This window comes from Homo sapiens, chromosome 2, assembly GCF_000001405.40.
Source record: "Homo sapiens chromosome 2, GRCh38.p14 Primary Assembly".
Classification (NCBI taxonomy): Eukaryota; Metazoa; Chordata; class Mammalia; order Primates; family Hominidae; genus Homo; species Homo sapiens.
The window spans coordinates 60,356,821-60,375,872 of record NC_000002.12 but is presented as its reverse complement, the minus strand read 5'-3'; the positions used below and the strand labels follow the sequence as shown (position 1 = coordinate 60,375,872).

General features: G+C 43.9%; 1 long non-coding RNA gene across 2 annotated transcripts in view; it reads left to right on the top strand.

Moving 5' to 3' along the window:
- Nucleotides 1–16,657, top strand: part of MIR4432HG (MIR4432 host gene) — a 32,160-nt gene extending 15,503 nt beyond the window's left edge. Inside the window, exons 3-4 of one of the 2 annotated variants that reach the window (NR_132991.1) lie at nucleotides 5,836–5,964; nucleotides 16,025–16,657. This is a non-coding gene — a long non-coding RNA (MIR4432 host gene). The remainder of the gene's footprint in view (nucleotides 1–5,835; nucleotides 5,965–16,024) is intronic. The other variant, NR_132992.1, reaches the window with a different exon arrangement.
- Nucleotides 16,658–19,052: the final 2,395 nt, after the last annotated feature.

The window sequence follows — 19,052 nt, the reverse complement described above, 5'->3', positions numbered from 1 at the left end:
GGGATGAAGCAGTGTCTCTGGTCTCTGACATTTTCTATCTTTTCTAGAAATGTTCCCTTGTCATTTTTTTCCAGCCATGATCTTGGGGGCAGGGACTTTCAAACCCATCTAGGTCGAAATTGTTTACATGCATATATCTGCATGTCATGCAGATGTAAAATCTGAAAGGACACCCTCTGAGGTATTCACAGTTATGGTAGGAAAGGAAGTGAAGAGCGAACTCCGATTTTAACTAAATAAACTTCCATATTGTTTAAATAGTGTAATGAAAATAAATTAATGTATCGCCTGTATAATTACTATTGTTTCTTACATTTTGGCCTATTTTAGAATCTGAGGGTGATCATCTCACCAACCCATGTATTCGCTATCCCCAACCTTGTCGTTTCTTCCTCCCCACCTCCCTCTCATTCTGTGGGGGCTCTGTGCAGCTGGTCCTGAGTGTTGGGGTAATGGTGGGATGAGAGGTGGGGAAGTGAGGATGACCCCCAACCACAGGGGTCAGGGGTCAGCTTCGGCTACTCGCTTATTGGAATGAGTCAAAGTACAACAATAATCTGTACCCCTTGCCACGGTGAATTGATGAAACCTTCCTATCCCAGTGTTAGAGGAAGTGTTTACTATTTTGTTATAGTAAATAAGAAGGGCTTCCCTTCTTCCTGCTGAATTCCACATAGAAGCATGAGGATTTAGTGCAAAGCCAGCACTCTGATGTGGCTCTGTCTTTCCAGATCTTTCATGGTCCGGAAGACCATGTCTGGTCCCTGATCTACTGATAAGGGATGGTTAGTTAGGAGGAGGGACCCGGGGGTGGCTGCCTTTCTCCCTGAAAATTGGTGTCAGTGTTTAGAGCTACCTCTTTGGTTTTGGAACTTATCTGTAATTTAAGGTGTCAAGGTCTGACTCTTTTCATTTGGGGCAAAGACAAGCTGTTTTCACTTTGGGGAGAAGAAGAGGGGTGAACTTTCATACTCATTCTCTCTCCTGCCCCTCTGTGAGTGCCAGGCTTCTGTTTCTCTCTTCCAGGTAGAGCTGATTACTCAGAGCACAAGATATGAAAGGACAGGCAGTCCACAGACATCGAATCTTTTAAAATCACTTAACAATTGAACAGTAACTCCTGAAATGGAAGCCCAGATCCTATACCTCATTCTGAGAAAAGTTACTCTCCACCACCGTGCCTCAGTTTACTCACGTGGAACACTGAAGTTACAGCACCGAACAGAGGCTAGAGGGGGTGGGTGTTTGCTAAGTGGGACCTGGGGCTAACCTTTCTGATCTGGCCTGTCTCCCTAACGGGGCTGTTCAAGACTCAATTGGGTTAATGAATGTGGCTGTATAAAGCAGAATGTTTGTAAATATAAGACTGTCATCAATTTAAAGCAAATATATGGTTTATTTGCTTTAAATAAGGTCTTCAAATAAACATCTTCCTGGAGGTCAAATGCTAAAGTGCACGTTACCATGGGTGGATAAGAAGAGACTACTTTGTCCTGGGGCACTGTTTTCCAAAATGTGTTCCAAAAAACCCTAAGCACAAAAGATGTTGCTGTAGAGCAAAAAGCTGTATGTATGTATGTATGTGTGTATGTATTTATGTGATCAGTGTATTTGGGAAGTAATGCATACACATTTGGGTGAAGGAGGCTATGAAAGTGAATTCTTATAGAGGAGGAAATAAATAACAAGTTATACAGTTATTAAAACACTGATAAATGCCACAAACATGACAAAATCTAGAAAACTAATGTAATATTTTTACTCATTAATTGCTTGACATATTTCTATAATACTTTTCCTTCTATATTTTATAGCTCTGCACTCTTTGCTCACCTCTTCATATGACAACAATTTGGAAATCTTTTCTACAAAGAGGCTAGAAACCTAATTTAGTCTTTCCCTAACATGATTGATGAAAATTTATTTTTTGTTATTAATAATTAAGAAAAGGTCAGTTTTGTTGCTTGTTATTGGTACTATCATGTGAAGTTTTAGGATTGTTGACAAATTTGGGACATCTCTTAAGTTTCCTTCATATGTGAGCTGTAAGATTTCACAATGTTCTGAGTTTTCTGGTGCAGTAATTTATCTCACCTATTCTTTAAACTGATGACCCTCATTAACCAGGCCTTGAAAGGGCCCCATCTAGAGAGGGGTGGTGACACTTAAGCTTTATTCCCATCAAGGTACATTTGCCCCCGTACAAAACCTCTTCTCCTACCCCTCCAGTATTTATTCAGAGAAATTTCAAACCTAAGGAAAAGTTGGAAGACTAGTGCAATGGACACTTGTACAGCACTCACCAACATTCACCAATAAACATTTTGCTACATTTGCTTTACCTCTTTCTCAATCTCTACCTCTCCTTCTCTCCTGTCTATGCACACACACACACACACACACACACACACACACACACACACGCACCCCACCAACACATCACACACCACACATACACATGAGTTCAGGCTATATTTTCTAGGAATGAGGACATTTTTGTACATAGCCATAATACTATTTTCATGTCTCATAAATTTTCCATAGATATTATAATGTTATCTAATAAACACTCCATATGCTATGTGCGTATTTACTAATTGGTATCAAAAGTCCTTTGTAACCGCTCCCTTTCCTTTCCTCCCCCTCTCTTTCCTTTGCTTTTTCTTCATTTCCTCTCCTTGCCTCATCCTATCTATTAATCTTTGGTTACATTCTTACTTTTTGGTTCACAATGTCCTAGGATTACATTGCTCTATTTTACCCCCAGAGCTGGAATCAGCCATTCTCTCCAAGGAACCCTGGTTCAAGGATCCCTGTCAAAAACAAAGCACCTATTAACATGTGACAGATGCTGGGACATTACACTGTGGGGTGAACACCACCCTGTTATCTCTGGATCCCCTCTTTGTGAGCCAAGTCCTTGGGCTTGCTACTTAAGTACCAGGGAGACCACAGATGCTGGTGACACCTGGAGACTTTTTATCAGGTATTTGAGAGATGCAATTTGTCCTGTGGAAAAAGGCTCAGTCTGCAGACCCCTGGCCTTCTCTTGTGTACTCCTCTTCTGGCTGGGAGGTGGGGTGAGGAGAGAGTAGACCACAGAGACAGCCTGTAGCAAAGGAAGAAGAAATTTCTGGAAGTTTTTTTTATATCTAAATACTACTCCTCCCTGTATGACATCCAAGTCATTGTTTAAGGTCCACCCAGTGTCGTCTCTTAAAACACCAGTATCATGTCTGTAGATAGCTGGGAACTCAGTCTCCATCTGCATCTCTGGACCCTATGGTAGGAGCCTATGAAGAACAACCTGAAGCTTTGCCAGGGCCTTCAGCTATGGGTTTGGACATTGTCCAGAAAGAGCACCAAGTTTCCGCTTACACCTTCTGGGAGGACAGCCTTGGAGACCTGCAAACACATCCTGAGCTAGGGAGAGTCAGCAGGCCTGGGCCCTGAGGGGCAACCAGGGGTGACAACTAGGGTGCATTACTCAGACTTGCTTCCTGGTGCCACTTCAGAGGCATTAATATGTTTCTTTTGAGAACTGTCCTTTGAAAGAACTCTTGGAGTGGAGCTGATTCTGTAAACTTGATGCTATCTGGAAACCAGAGGACCAAACAAGCAGCCTGAGGAGGCCAGGAACCCTGGGGATGCGACCCAGGTATTAGTTGGAGAGCCCAGGAGAGGCCCCAGGGAGGCGCTGATGAAGTGGGACAGGACGTGATCACTACTGTGAGCTTCTAGGTGGGGGACAGGGCAGGAGAAGCCCCTCCCAGGGGTTGCCCGAAGTAGGCGCCTTGGCTGAGACCGAGGACCCTGGCAGGAAGGCCTTCTATAGAGACAGGATCTTCCATCTTTCTTCTACAAGTGGCTGAAGGAGGAAGTTGGAAAATCAGTTAACGTTTCTCCAGTGTGATCTCTTCACCTACAAAGCTGTGGATTAGATGACTAGTTTTCATGCATTTAAAAAAAAAAATCAGCAAAATGAGGCCTTCTGTGGAAGCCCAATTAGGTAGAAGTGCAGCTGCTCTATTTGAAGAGGAAGTTGGGGCCCCAAAGCCTTCCCAGAAGCCCCCTCTGCCAACCTTCCTCCACCCCTCCGTGGCCCCTGAAGGGAGCTCTGGTTTTTCTATAAACAGATTCCATCTGGAATAAAAAGCAAAGGTCTGAAAAGTTTTTCTCATTCTAAACATGCAACTACAGGCAGAAAATTGATTATTTGGAATCCTGCGTGGAATGCGCTTGTGAGGGCTGGTGAGGAGGCACAGGAAGTGCCTTCAGCATCATGTGTTTAGATGGCTGGGCGGGAGGGCCATCGAAGGACCCTGGAATCATTAGAACTGTTGGCGCTGACGAGGGCTAAGTGGACCAGAGAAGCCCGTGTCCTGTGGCTGTGGGTCTTGGGTGTGGGGAGTCAACGGAGCCGCTGGGTCCAAGTCTGAACGTGTCCTGAAATGCCTCCTAAAGCCTTCATTGTTTCTGGTCTGCTTAGCACAGGTCCGCATTAACACTGTGTAGAATGGCTATAGGCTTCCTAGAAAATATGAGCTAGGATGGTAGTTTTGAGACACTCTGTTCTGTGTAATTCTTGTTTTAGAAGAGGATTCATTCTATGTTTGCCCAAGATTCATAAGGAGTCTGTGCATACTAGACAAGAACTGACACTTCTGGAAGGTTTTAATTTTCAAAGAACATCCTATGATCTCATTTGATCCTCACAACAAATCAGAAAAACAGGCAGGGTAGGTATTAGACTCATTTGCAGATGAACAGACAGAAGCCTAAGGGAGGGTGAGTGGCGTGCTCACACATGGCTGGCACCTGTGAAGCTGGGACTGCATTTTCGATTCTCCAAGCCAGCCCCAGCTTCCCAATTCTGTGTAGATAGCGGATCAAATGCAGGTGGTTAGAAAAGAGTTTTGTTGCTGTGGCTTCTGTGAGCAAGATCAGCCACGGGCATGGTTAAAGGTGGAATTAAGACTTCTTACCAACTCCACTAAGTAGCTCCTCTAGGCTTCAAATGCCACTGAACATTTTGGGATCCACTGGGGAGAGTAGTGCCCACCCCCACTCCTGCCCAGGCTCCCATTGTAATTGCTTTTCCTGTAGCTCCCTGGGGCAGCAGGATGTGGCAAGAGTCTACAGACTTGAATGCTACTCCTAACTCTACTGCCAATGGTTCATGTGTCTTGGGCAACTGCGTTGACCCTCAGAGGATATTGAACTACAGCAGTGTTTCTCAAAGTGCTGTGCTTGGGCCACCTGTGACAAAGTTACGTGAGAGAGAGAGTGTGTGTGTGTGTGTGTGTGTGTGTGTGTGTGTGTGTGTGTGAATGTCCTGTGTGTGTATATATATTCCCAGGCTGCTCCCCAGATCCGCTGAATCAGAGTCTCTGGGCTGGGGCATCTTCTCCTTCGTTGATTCAGAGACACACTCAGGTTTGACGACCACTAGGCTAGAGGCTCCCCAAGTATCCTTCCAACTTAATGCCTCCTTTCTGCAATAACCCTCTTCCTTGACTCTGGGTGGGCTGAGATTTCTGTAGCGAAGGGTAGGACTTGATTTAACAGTAGGTTTAAAAAGCTGTTTCAGGCAGACTTGCAAAAACCTGAGAGTCCAAGGGGGAAGTTACAGAGTAGGGGATGCAGGAGTGAGTGCAGAGTGAGAAGGCACCTGTGTGCCTGTTTCAGAAATGAAAGTAACTTCCTAAACTCTGCTCATGCCAAGAAAAGTATGGGTACTGTGTTGCTGCTTATTAAAGACAAAATAAATCACTGTTCCAAGGAGACACTTCTTGCCTTTTCTTGCTATCCTATGTCTACTTCTCCATGATTCAGGTGCTGACGAGGACTTTCACCTGGGAGAAGAGCTCATTCTTCCTATCGTTTCCCTGGGAAGAACATGGCTGAAACAACTTACTGTACAGACCACAGAAGTGAGACCAAAAACACTGAGATGAGGAAGAGGTCAGCAAAAGAGTCATATTTTAAAATATGTGCAATACTTATTATAATTGTTCTGCGCACTCCTATGGTGTGTTAAAAGATTTCACACTTTATAAGGTCTGGCTTCCAAGCTGAATATGATATTGTCTTGTACTCAGGTTGCATATAAAAGTGGCTGTAACAGCTTAAAGAGCTAGTCTTAGGAGTAGACTCACAGACCAGTGTTAGATAGTTTATGCTTATGAATTTGAATTTGAATATTTTAATACACCAGGGTTGATAAAGTCATCAAAAGTGTTATGGTAAAAAGCCAATTCCTAGGAGGAGACCATTGTCTTAAAAAATTATTAGCATTTATAGCTTATGTGGGAACATAAGTTCTACTCACCGAAGACTATAGAAGAGGTGGTTTCGTGATACAAGAAATGTGCTACCTGTACAAATTTAATGTGAAGTGAAAATAGTGTACCTATGTGAGTGGGATATCATGCAGATAACTTTTGGTTATTCAAGGTCTCCTTGTATAATTTAGGAAGTTATTTATTGTCAGCAAATACTTGTAAATTATTTCCAGCTGCCATGAACTAAATTTTAGGTACACTCTTTTCTGTGAGACGCAGAGGTGCTCATTTGGGAATGGATTCTGGCCAAGAAGTATGCATGATCCACTGGAACAATGGGAGGTAACATTTGGAAGAAGAAAATAAAATTGGCTGGGCGGGGTGGCTCACGCCTGTAATCCCAGCACTTTGGAGGGCTAAAGTGGTCAGATCATGAGGACAAGAAATCGAGACAATCCTGGCCAAAATGGTGAAACCCCGTCTGTACTAAAAATACAAAAAATTAGCTGGGCGTGGTGGCGGGTGCCTGTAGTCCCAACTACTCAGGAGGCTGAGGCAGGAGAATCGCTTAAACCCGGGAGGCAGAGCTTGCAGTGAGCCAAGATCATGCCACTGCACTCCAGCCTGGCAACAGAGTGAGACTCCATCTCAAAAAAAAAAAAAAAAAAAAGAAAAAGAAAAAAGAAAATAAAATGGACCCCCACCAATGTCCTGCGTCTTCTGTTCTCATTCTTCTTAACTCTTCAAAGATCATACACAGCGGATCTCAGGTCAAAGCTGCAAGTTGTTTTAGTATCCTGGGATCTTCTGTAGCAGAGCCAAGATTTGAGTTTTTCTAAACTGGTAGGCTCATTCTTCCTGGCTCCGTATCTCTCTCCCTGTGGCCATTCCAGGGTCCACCCATGAACAGCCTCATTGCAGCTGCCAAGTCACCAGCCAGCCTATTGGACAACTGGCCTTTATATTGAAGCAGGCACTTGACATTCCAGCCCTGTTTCCCTGCTGCCACTGCTGCTTTCTCCCATCCAGTGATACTGAAATAAACTGTTCAGGTGAAATGAAAATATCTAGAAAGAGGCCTATAACTCTGTGTCAATGGAAAGCTACCTGGGATGTGCATTAGCTCTGCAAGCAGTAGTGTGGGGAGATACTCATCCTGCCAGGGTAGCTGTCTCCACATGAAACATCTTAATTTGGGTTTACTATAGTTAGAATATTTTGCATATTACTGTTCTTTATTTCAAAATTATGCCTACTTAAAAAATAATAGTTCTTTAAAGAGTTGCTAGGTTTCCATTTCTTTTGCATCATAAAGACAGAGCATTATGGATATTTCGAGAAGTAAAGATAAGGGATAATATCACTCATGATCCCTCACACGGTTATTATTTTTGTTTATTTCATTCCAGCCTTTTTAAAAAATAAGTATGCTTTTATCTAGTTGTAACCACAGTGTCATACTATTTCCAGTTTCTTTTCCCACTTAGCATGTGTCATTTTGCATTTTTCCATGTTACTGTGTAGTCTTTGTCCTCCTAATGGCTACATGAAGGTCCATGGCTGTGTATCATAATTTACTTAACCATTTACCTACTGTAATCATTTTGATTGCTTTCAGTTTCCCACTGTTATAAGTCATATTGCAATGGGCATATATGTGCATATTGTTTTTCCATATTTGTATTATTTGTTGCATTTTTTAAAAAGTGTCATTCAGGAACCAGGATATTTGCTCAACAGTAGACATTGCATTTGAAACTAATGGGGAAAAGGGGCTTTATAGAACAATTACAGTGGGAAAATGGGGCATTATTTAACAATTTATTGGGTCTTCACTATTCCATAAGTTGAGGAGAACATGTAGCATTATGAGTATTACCACAGTCATAGGCATTCAGACACCTTAAAAGTACCTGTGATTCATTCAGAGGTCTTGTGGTGGTGTTAGGACTCTTCTGTCCTTTGCAACATACTTACTTGCTTTGGTGCTGGTTGTTATTGCTTTATTGCAATTTCACTGCCATATGCAGGTACACAAGAGCCTATGTGCAAAGGTGTTAAACAAGGCAATCGGAATATTCTTTGGTCAACATCCTCCAGGAAAGATATCTGTGATATCCTATTTACCTGAACTTCACCTAAGGTGTGGGTTTTTGTGGTGGTAATAAGAATACCATTCTTGTCTTTTTTTGTTTTTGTTTTTTTGTTTTTTTTTCCTCAAGATGGAGTCTTGCTCTGTCACCCAGGCTGGAGTACAATGGCATGATCTAGGCTCACTGGAACCTCCACCTCCCAGTTTCAAGTGATTCCCCTGCTTCAGCCTCCTGAGTAGCTGGGATTACAGGCACGCGCCACCATGCCTGGCTAATTTTTTGTATTTTCAGTAGAGACGGGATTTCACCGTGTTGGCCAGGCTGGTCTCGAACTCCTGACCTAGTGATCCGCCCACCTCAGCCTCCCAAAGTGCTGGGATTACAAGCATGAACTACCGCGCCCGGCCCATTCTTGTCTTCTTTAATGTCAGTAATATAGCACTTAGTGAGTGTACAAATGAAAGCTGTGACCCTCTACTTAATATTTTGGAGGCACTGGATGTATTGGCCACTGGCATGCCAAATATGAGCTTGTAATTACAATGACATTCTTTTTTAGGGTTTATGAAGGTTTTATTTAATGAAACATGCTTAAGACTAACTAGAACACCTTTCTGTCCCTCATTCTACCCCTTTGTTTTCTCCATTGAACTTCATGACCTCAGAGTGAATGTGAAAGGGTGAGTTTTGGGAGGCTGGGAACAAGGGTGCACAGTAGTGGGTCTATGTGAGCTAATAGCAGGGAAGAAAAATCAGCACTGCATTTTTTAAATGGGGGAAAAATCAGGAAAAAGGCATGCATAAAGGATTTATCCCTTCCATGAAACATTGATTAATGAAATCTAGTATAAACGGGTGTCATGCCCTTTAAATATTAGATTTCATTACTTAGTGGATGGTAGGCTTCAGAAAGGGGATACCCTGTCTCTGCTGGCTCTTTATGGACACAAGTGTTTCATGCCCTTGCAGTGATCAAAGATGCAAATGCCTTGGGTAGCCGAATCATGGGACAGTGTGAAACATTGTGCTGGACAGATGTGTTGTCAGGAAAGGGCTTTGGTGATAAAAGGGACAGCTGTCCTCAGGATGGGGGTGGGGGAGAAAGGAGTCAAGAGGGAAGGAAGTATGCAAGGGAAGGTGACCCAACCACATGAAGCCAGCCACTTGGGCCCCCAGCTGGGAAACTCCACCAGCTTGCTAGCTCTTCCGGTTCTAGTAGGGCTGGCCAGACATCTGGCCTCTGTTCTAATTAAAGTGGGCAACTAATTTGGTGGCTGCAATGAAGAAAGCGGCAGTGAAATCTTGATGGCTGCAGGGTCATAATAAGGCCCTATACAACTTTCCAAGACTAAGGCATTGCCAAATTATTTCCATTTCCTAAGGGCCATTCAGTTCAATTCTGCTTAGATTTATTGAGCACTAGCTCTATAGAAAGCCCACACCCCGGCTCCAGGAAGCCTCTTATCTATTAGGGAAGGCACATGAGGAGACTATGGTGTAAAAGAAATGAATTAAAGACCACGATACAGGCACATGCAGGGTTCTGTAGGAATGTAACAGGGAAGTAATTTATTCCTATTGAGAGAATCTGGGAAAGCTTCCTGGTGGAGTTGGCATTTGCTCTGAATTGTTAATTCTGAAGTTCGATTCTAGGCAAACATTCTGGAGGATCGCCATGAGCAGAGAGGCAGATTTTCTGAATGGAATTTCTGGAATTTGTCCTCTATGGGAGTGAGATAAGAAGTTCATTCTAGTATAGTCACAGAATTCCCCACATTTCATGGGTGGAAGCTCAGGCCCTGTGGCCTCTAAGACTAGGACTTGCACAAATAGAACGAGCCGGGAGCCTAGCTTTTCACCCGACTTGAATTGTTGGAGAAGGATCAGGTTGGCCCTTAGGATGTGGCCTATGTTTATGCTCCAAATGGTGCATATGGTAACCTGTTACTATCAGGAATAATTAAACCACAATATACCCAAGTTATCTCCCGCTAGGTAGTTAACCTGCACTTGGCTCTGTTGGTGGCACTGGCGGCAGGCAGAGTGAGGGCTGCCCACCTTCATGGAAATGAGCCAGCTGGAGCCCACTTGTTATCCATGTCCTTCCCTTTGGTGCCCCTCCTCCATCCCTCTCCATCCATCCTCCATCCCCTCTTCCTTAAGGCCTCTCCAAGTACCAAAAGAATGGCTGGCGAGACTGTGCCAGGGATCAAAAAACTCCCTGATTTTATCTTTGTTACTGAAGGCGAAAATGATCTGCTATGTATATTTTATGAGAAAATGTGTTTTGTTTCTAGTTCTACAGGCAGCCCTCCCTTTCCGCCCCCTAATAAGCTCATGTCAGAACTCTGAAGTCAGTTTGCCGTAATGGTAGCCTAAAGGACATATTTTGTAAAAACGAAAAATGAACATATTATTTATATATCAATAGTGTAAAAAGCATTGATCAACGCAAGCAGCCTGTTGTTTTGCTTCTCTACTTCCCCTCTAAACCTCCTTCGCCATCTCCTGCTTCCCCCTCCCTTCTTGCCCCAGGTGCCCACGTCACTCCTACCATTTAGAGAGGGAGTTCTAGCCTGTCCTGGTCAGTTTGTGCTGGGATCCGGCCTTTAATATGGAGCCTTCAACGGCTGAGCCTCCAAAATGACTCTCTGACAGCCAGCCATTAATTACCATCATCCGTGTCTAATTCATTCATCCCTCTCCCTCTCATGTAGAGGGACAGCTAGGGCTGAGGGCACTCAGGGAAATGTAGGCACGATTCCATGTTCTTTATGCAGAGAGGGCTGCCGGAGACTTTGTTGGATGCAGGGGCTTTAATTGAATTGGCTTGCCAATAAAGCTGTTGTCATTCAGTAAGTGAATTTGTTGTACTACTCGAAGCACAGCTGCTGCAGACGGCCCGGAATTTCCTGAAGGCAAGCCAGGCCCTCGGCTCGCCTGGGTTCTGCCTTTTCCATTGATCCTGAAGGCCATGCAGAGTGTCCCCCTTCAGGGCTTGGTTTTGGCACTGATTTGGATGCCATCAAGGAGCATGGGCAGGCTGGGATTCAGCAGGAACCTGGAGAGCCTGTGGGGTGTGACCCTAGGGGTTTATAGGGAAGAGATAACTCAGGAGTGTTAGGGGTGGTAGCTATCAGGCAGGAAAGGCCTACGTACCACAATTGGGTATTTTTTCAATGTCCAGAAAGAAGCTGCCTTTGGCTCCATCAGGCTAGTCATAAGAGAATATCACTTCCCATTGTAAAAAAAGAAATTGAGAATATGACAGTTAATATATTTGTAGGGCCTTGTTTAAGAGGTCAAGTGGTATTGAGAAAATGCAGTGGCATTAGAACTGGCATTTGTTACTAGGAGATCGTTGGGCCAGAAATGCTCTACTGCTCCCACAGTTTATAAAACACAACAAGATTGGCAGGTTGCATGATTTATGATGGCTTTAAAGTAACATCAAGATTAAGGAAAGTTTTTCAAGGGACTGCAGGCCATTTTTATTTTCTGCATCCACGCACATGAGTGTAGTGGGCTCAAGTGACTAAGAACAAGAGTGGGAGGAAGATTTTCATGTTTCTGGTGGTGTCCTTACACTTTAAAATAGGTGGGGATTGCTCACTGAGCTCTTCATTCAAGGGATTTTCCCCCTTGTAATTTGGAATGATCTGAGCAGTGCTTGAGCCTTTTCAGGGAGCCTACTGTCCAATTGCAGTGGAGGGTTCATAGAACACAGGGATCCCTGGTCTACTTTCAATTAGTCAGGACTAGAGGATTTCCCAGCTCTTTACACCTCTTCTCCAGGGTCTGTCTACCTTTTGGCTGTTTTGTTGTCTCCTTTACCAGGACGCTGGAGAAGAAGGACCCTGTAAGTCAAATGTAGTTTTTGTTTGAACCCTAAAATTCTGACAGCCCAGAAGCTCTTTAAAAGAAGCCTATGTATTGGCCCCATTAAACTTTTTTTTTTTTTGATCCAGGGTCTCGCTCTGTTGCCCAAGCTGGAGTGCAGTAGTGCAATCATGGCTCACTGCAGCCTTGACCTCACAGGCTCAAACGATCCTCCCACCTCAGCCTCCCAAGTATCTAAGACTACAGGCATATGCCACCATAACTGGCTAATTTAAAAAATTTTGAACAGACTGGGTTTCCCTATGTTACCCAGGCTGGTCTTGAACTCCTCAACTCCTGATCCTCCTGCCTTGGCCTCCCAAAGTGCTGGTATTACAGGCATGAGCCACTGTGCCTGGCCTTGGCTGTGTTTTGATATGGCAAGTGAGAGTTGGTTTCCTACATCACGTATGCAGCTTTGAAGCTTATAAGGAAGAAAGATGGTGGAAACTCAGGTGAGAGAGGCTTTGGGACTTGGTATCGACATGAATATCCGGCTGGTGTGAGAGAGAGTGATGTATGTGTAGGTGCTCCTGTGTGTGTGTGTCCGTGTGTGTATTTTTGAGAGAGAGAGGTTTGCTTCAATGCCTAACTTTGGCATGAAATAGAGAAAATGATGCTCCTTACTCTAATAAGTAAATCTGTTGACAATACTTTTTGCTAGGTACAATCACATCTTTGTAAACTCTTCCCGCAAATCAAATCATGACAGAAGATGTGGCCATGGAAACAAAATCATTACTGTTTTGTTTCAAGAAGGTGGACTGAACCACAATTCAAGTGGAAGGTCCATCTTCTGAAGTTTCTGGCTTATACTAGTACTAGTTTTTTTTTTTCCCCCAAAATGGTTAATTTTTTTTTGTTTTGGTGAGACAGAGTCTTGCTCTGTTGCCCAGTGGCACAATCTCGGCTCACTGCAACCTCTGCCTCCCGGGTTCAAGTGATTCTCCTGCATCAGCCTCCCAAGTAGCTGGGACTATAGGTGCATGCCACCATGCCTGGCTAATTTTTTGTATTTTTAGTACAGACGGGGTTTCACCCTGTTAACCAGGATGGTTTCGATCTCCTGACCTCGTGATCGGCCCACCTGGGCCTCCCAAAGTGCTGGGATTACAGGCGTGAGCCACCGTGCTCAGCCGCTATCTACTTCTCTTCCTGTGTTTTCTGTTCTCTTTCTTCTGGGCTTTGCATTCTTTCTACCGTTCCCTACTCCTCCTCCCTGGCCTCCCAGGTCCTCCCTGGCCTCCTGACTTCCCCTTTCTTTCATATCTCTAAGTCTTTCCCTCTTGATTTCATCATATATCAAACTATCTAATAATAGTATTAAAATTTTACTTGTCTTTACACACATGATTTCATTAACTTGCTTCTCCAAGTGATTATTCTTTCTCCTTTTGCGTTGGTGGGGTTTGCGTAGCTGTTCCTCTTTGAGGAGGCCACCATGACTCTGGCGATTTGCTCTGAGACGCTACTTTCCACCAACTACCATATTGGGTGGAAGAGGCAGATCCAATTTTTAACTTTCTAAGGTAATAAATTCAGGAAACCCCAGCTGAGGCCAACTCACAATATCATTCATTTTGGTTTCTACTTTTCATAATTGAGTGCCTTTTTGTACTTCTCTTTGATAAGTGGAGTTAACATCTCCATGTGAACTGGAAAAGCTAAGTTGGTGGTAGTCCCTTGAGGATTTTGTGTCTTGCTCTGACACCTTCATTGACTTCATCAGAATTTAGATGTATTAAGGGATCAAGGAGTTGCACTTATGTGCATGAAGTTCTCAAGGTGTTTGGAGAGCCTGTTCCTAAGCCAAGTTCTGATGGTCCCTAGGAGAGAAAACTTTTTGCCAAATGAACACAGTTTGATGGAAAAGTTCATGACAAGCCAACATAATACTTTAACCATTTTCTAGCAGTGACTCAGCAGTTATGGAAAATGACTATGGGAAAAATACCAAAAAATTCTTCTTTTCTGTCTTCCCCTACTTTGATAAGCATTCTTTTCACTTCTCCTTCCAAGATTCAGAATTGTACTTTCATTCCCTTGTTGCTTTTCTTCTCAAACTGGGGAGTGTCGAGTGAGGTGGTGGTATCCTGGGTGAACCCTGGGCTGTAGGATAAACATGGCAACTTTCATGGAGCATTTATTTTACTTATGAATTTTTGAGGAAAATGTAATTAATGGAAAGATCATCATTACATGATGGAGTCAAATGCAAAATTGGCATTAATGTTAAATAAAGCAGGAAACTTCAAACTTTGTTGTTGTTGTTGTTATTGCTGTTTCTTGTTTTTTTGAGCCAGAGTCTCATGCTGTCACCCAGGCTGGAGTGCATGGAGTGCAGTGGTGCTATCTTCGTTCACTGCAACCTCCATTTCCTGGGTTCAGGGGATTCTCCTGCCTCAGCCTCCTGAGTAGCTTGGATTACAGGCACCCACCGCCATGCATGGCTAAGTTTTGTATTTTTAGTAGAGACGGGCTTTTGCCATGTTGGCCAGGCTGGTCTCGAACTCCTGACCTCAGGTGATCTGCCCACCTCGGCCTGCCAAAGTGCTGGGATTACAGGCGTGAACCACGGCGCCTGGCCAGGAAGCTTCAAACTTCTGTTTGAGGTTCTCCAGTTCAGCCCCCATCTCACGGTCTCCAGAAGTAGGATTCTGCTCTTCAAAGGGGTGGGGAGGTGCATGACCCTGGAACCAATTACTCTAGTGGATTTCTTATCAGAGCTAACACAGATTATTTGTCTGACAGTGAATCTTAACATCCTTGGGGCATGGATCTTACTACATCTATAATGTCAACTTCAGTCATCCCTACTAAAGGCATTAGATATTTGCAGTTGTGTTATCTGCAATGTAGGAAGGGCAAAAGTCTTGGGTCAATTTTAACTCTTCTTAGTTTACGAAAATGTCTGGAGTACATATAGGCAACCCATAGTCATTTGGGGACTTGTCGTTTGTGTGTGGATTATCTCAGCTTCTTATGTTCCACATTTCCACTTACCTGCTTTTGGACATTTCTTCACTCATTAGGTTATTTGTGATGAGTCAAATCCCAAATACACAATCCCAGATCAGGCTCAAGAAAGACATGCAGAGTATGTGCTCTTGGCAAAGGCCTCCTGATTTCCACAGGGCTTTGACCCCATGCTCGATGTGAAACTCCTTTTCCCGCTGAATCTGCTGCACCAGCATGGGTCTCAGGATTCCCTTAACCCTCCGGTTCAAAGCCAGCCTCAAAGCAGTCTAATAGTCCTCTTAGTCCTTAGCCCCACACTCTGATCTTGGTCTGTCAAGTTTCTCTCTTGGAACAAGAGTAAGCACAGATCCTCAGGGAAGAGCAGGCAAAGAGGAAATTTCTCTTTGAGGCCAGAGAAGAGTTGATCCAGGGTGCCCACTCTTGGCCAACCCTCAAAGGTAGTGGTCCCAGGCTCATCTTGCCCCTCCATGGCAAGTGGGTGCTAAGTGAGAAGCATGAATAGATGAAACCCCAAATAGCACCCTGAAGCAGACATCCGCACTTCCTCACCCTTCTCTCCTCATAGGCAGAAACTTGGGGGTGGGAGAGGGGGAAGAATTAGGGTAGCAAGGCAGGCATGTTGGGGGCAGGGTTGGAAGGAAGTTTAATGTTCGGATGTGTCAAGTTTCTCCTTGTGGCTGGAGTGTGAGACTAATATTTTGCCCCTACCAAAGGAAGGCCATGGCTGATAGAGACAATGATATTACATGCAATGCTTCTTTCTTTTCTTTTTTTTTTTTTGGTTCTTAGGTGTGGCAAAATGGCTTTGTTGTGGTGGAAGATGAATTGTCGTCTCAAGGGGGCAGAGGACTGCCTGTGAGCTTCCTTAACATGGAGCCCGAAACCGGTGTTTGCACAGTCCTTGAGGAAAGGGTTTGCTCAGCAAATTAACAGTGTGAACAAGACTGCAGGAGGGACCATTTACCTACCTGAGAACAAACTGTTTTCTAGCTCTTCAGCAGCACCACTTACGCACAATTTTCATGTGCTAATGGCAAGTGATTATTACCTAGTTAGTGAATATACGTGGAAGACATAAAATAGCCTTTACTATCCCCTGGTTGAGACAACTCGCTAACTCAGACTTGCCAGGTGCTCTGAATTAGAGAGGTGCTACAGGAATGTCCTCTCGGATTTTTGGCGTTGAGCATGCATGCATGTGAGCAGGGTGCCATTTCTTCAGAAGAAAAATAAATGACAACATTCTGTTTTGGGGCTTGAAACTGCATGACTGAAAACATAAAGGTGACAACTGTGATATGCTTTTTTAATGAGGGCAGAGATGTCAAGAGAAACCAGCCTTCTAGGAACAAAAGAATACTCTGTCAGGTGCAGTGGACTTAAGACCTTTTTCTCTCTTGGAATAATGTCCTTAAAAATAACCAAATTTTCCATTCAATAGAAAAATGTTCATCCCTTCCTCCCCATCAATATGAATTGTTGTCTTGGAGCATGGGGCACTAGCAAGCCATATTGATTTTGGAAATTAAAATGGGAATGTTGAAGAGCGTTTTCAAAGAATTATATGGGATTTTAGCCATCTGAATGGCTTTCTTTTTAGGGTCAGTGAGAGTATTCTGGCTAAAATGTAGCCCATTGCTTTAGAAATAGTTTCCTTAATGTCTTTCCTGTCGCCCCTGCTGGGTCTGTGCAGGAAATGTAAACCAACATACAATATGTGTGTTTATTTTCATGTCCCATTTTATGGGAAATTGGATGGGGTATTCCACTGAGGCTTCAGCTATGATGTGTTGACAATATAGGGGGAGCAGGGAAGACTATTGCTGAAAGAGTTTACAAGGGAAGAAGGGGGTTCTATAACCTTTGAGAACTATGGGGAAGAGCCAGGCCTGCCAGCGAGAGCTCCGTTACTCAGGGGCCAGAGGGAGGCATTCAATAATGAAACCGGCTGGTGAGTTGCTCATCCATTAAATGACATCCTCACCAGCCAGCCCCAGTTTCCAGCACAGTTGGGATGTTGTGCCACACCTCATCTTGTGAGATGTTATGTCTGATACTGTGTGGTCTTCCTGCCTCTGCTGGCCATAGGAAACTCAGGCTACCAAACACCCAATCCAGAGTCCATAAGGGGTCACTAACTGGGTGGGGGGCAGAGTTACCCGGAGGACCCCTGCAGGAATGCAGAGGTTAGAGATTGTCAAACCAGTCATATCCTGGCCTTGTGCAGGTGGTGGCAAAACTGAACCTTTTCCTGGGATCCTACTGGAAAAGCAATTTAAAAAGTGCCTGGGTAGCACGGGGCCTGCTCAGGGAGTGTGGGTCCGTGTATTTCCTGTAAAATGTTTGAAATCTCAGCGTTAGGCCCATCTGTAAGACAGCAGTAGGTGTCAGTGGGAATACATGTTTTTCCTGCAGAAGAAAAAAGTTAGCATGTTTGCATTTTAAGCTCATAAACAGCTGCAGCCTGGACCGCCATGGCAAGCACGTTGGGGCTGGAGGAGCTGAGAGCTGCTGTTTGCCGGTGCACAGCAGCAGTTTCCAGTTGTAGACTGAAATATTGTATATATCTCCAATTTCAATAGGACTTTGTTTTGTGTTTCTAAACAAGGAAATTGAGGAGTGTCAAATTAATTTTTTAGTCCTGGTCATTTTTTAATTCCAGTTGGCCAGCTCGGCCTGGATTTGTACAAATACCGATTCCAGAAAATAGTTGAAGTACTAAACTTAGTAAATAAATGTGTTTATCTTTCAAATAGATTCAAGATGAAATACCCAGCACTTCTCCAGGGCATTTCTGTCCCTGCCTATTCATTTTAGCAGCTTGACCAAACTAATTCCCTTCCCTTAGTGTAATATTTAAATGGACTTCTGGCATCTGATACATTGCCTGCTGCTCCAATTCCCTAAGAAAGTCATTTAAATAGATTTTGACTATCTTGCATCTACTATAAAGCCAGTCAACTAAAAATCCTGGTCACTTCTCTCTAATTTTAGATGAGCCATGTGGAATTATTGGCTTTTGAGAAAATTCATCTTATCAGAGCTGAAAGTTTTGGATTTAATTTTTAACTATCTTTTTTTTTTTCTTTCCCAGCAAGAAAAATGAATGAAAAGACAAATAAGAAAGTGTTGCCATACAAAGTTAGCGAGCTGTCAGATAGATATAACTACTAAATGAAAGTCCACATTAAACTTTTGGGGCAAGATTCTCACTCCGCCTTCCCTCAACTCCAAGCCTTTGCTCCACTCCACTCATGCCCAATCTGAGAAAGGAAAAGAAGCAAGTTTGACACGTATCCTGCCTTCCAGGAATTTGCGATCCAGTTGAAGAGACAAGCTCTACCCATTCAGAGGGTGGCTTGTGTGATTTGGGTTTTCTGCTAGGCACAGGATGAGGGGTGCAGAGGGGAGTGGGGGAAATAGATCCTTATGTATTGGCTGGGGACCAGGACTTGGGGGTATTATAATAAGTTGGCCTGAAGGAATAGCGAGAGGTGGGTATGTGAAAAGCAAGCTGATAACAGCATAGAGATGGCAAATATAAGGGGAAAGTGGCCACAAAAGTGAGCAATGGAATGCCAGGTGCAGTGGCTCACGCCTGTAATCCCAGTACTTTGGGAGGCTGAGGCGGGTGGATCACAAGGTCAAGAGATTGAGATCATCCTGGCCAACATGGTGAAATCCCGTCTCTACTAAAAAAATACAAAAATTAGCTGAGCGTGGTGGCACGCACCTGTAGTCCCAGCTACTTGGGAGGCTGAGGCAGGAGAATCACTTGATCCTGGGAGGTGAGAGTTGCAGTGAGCCGAGATTACGC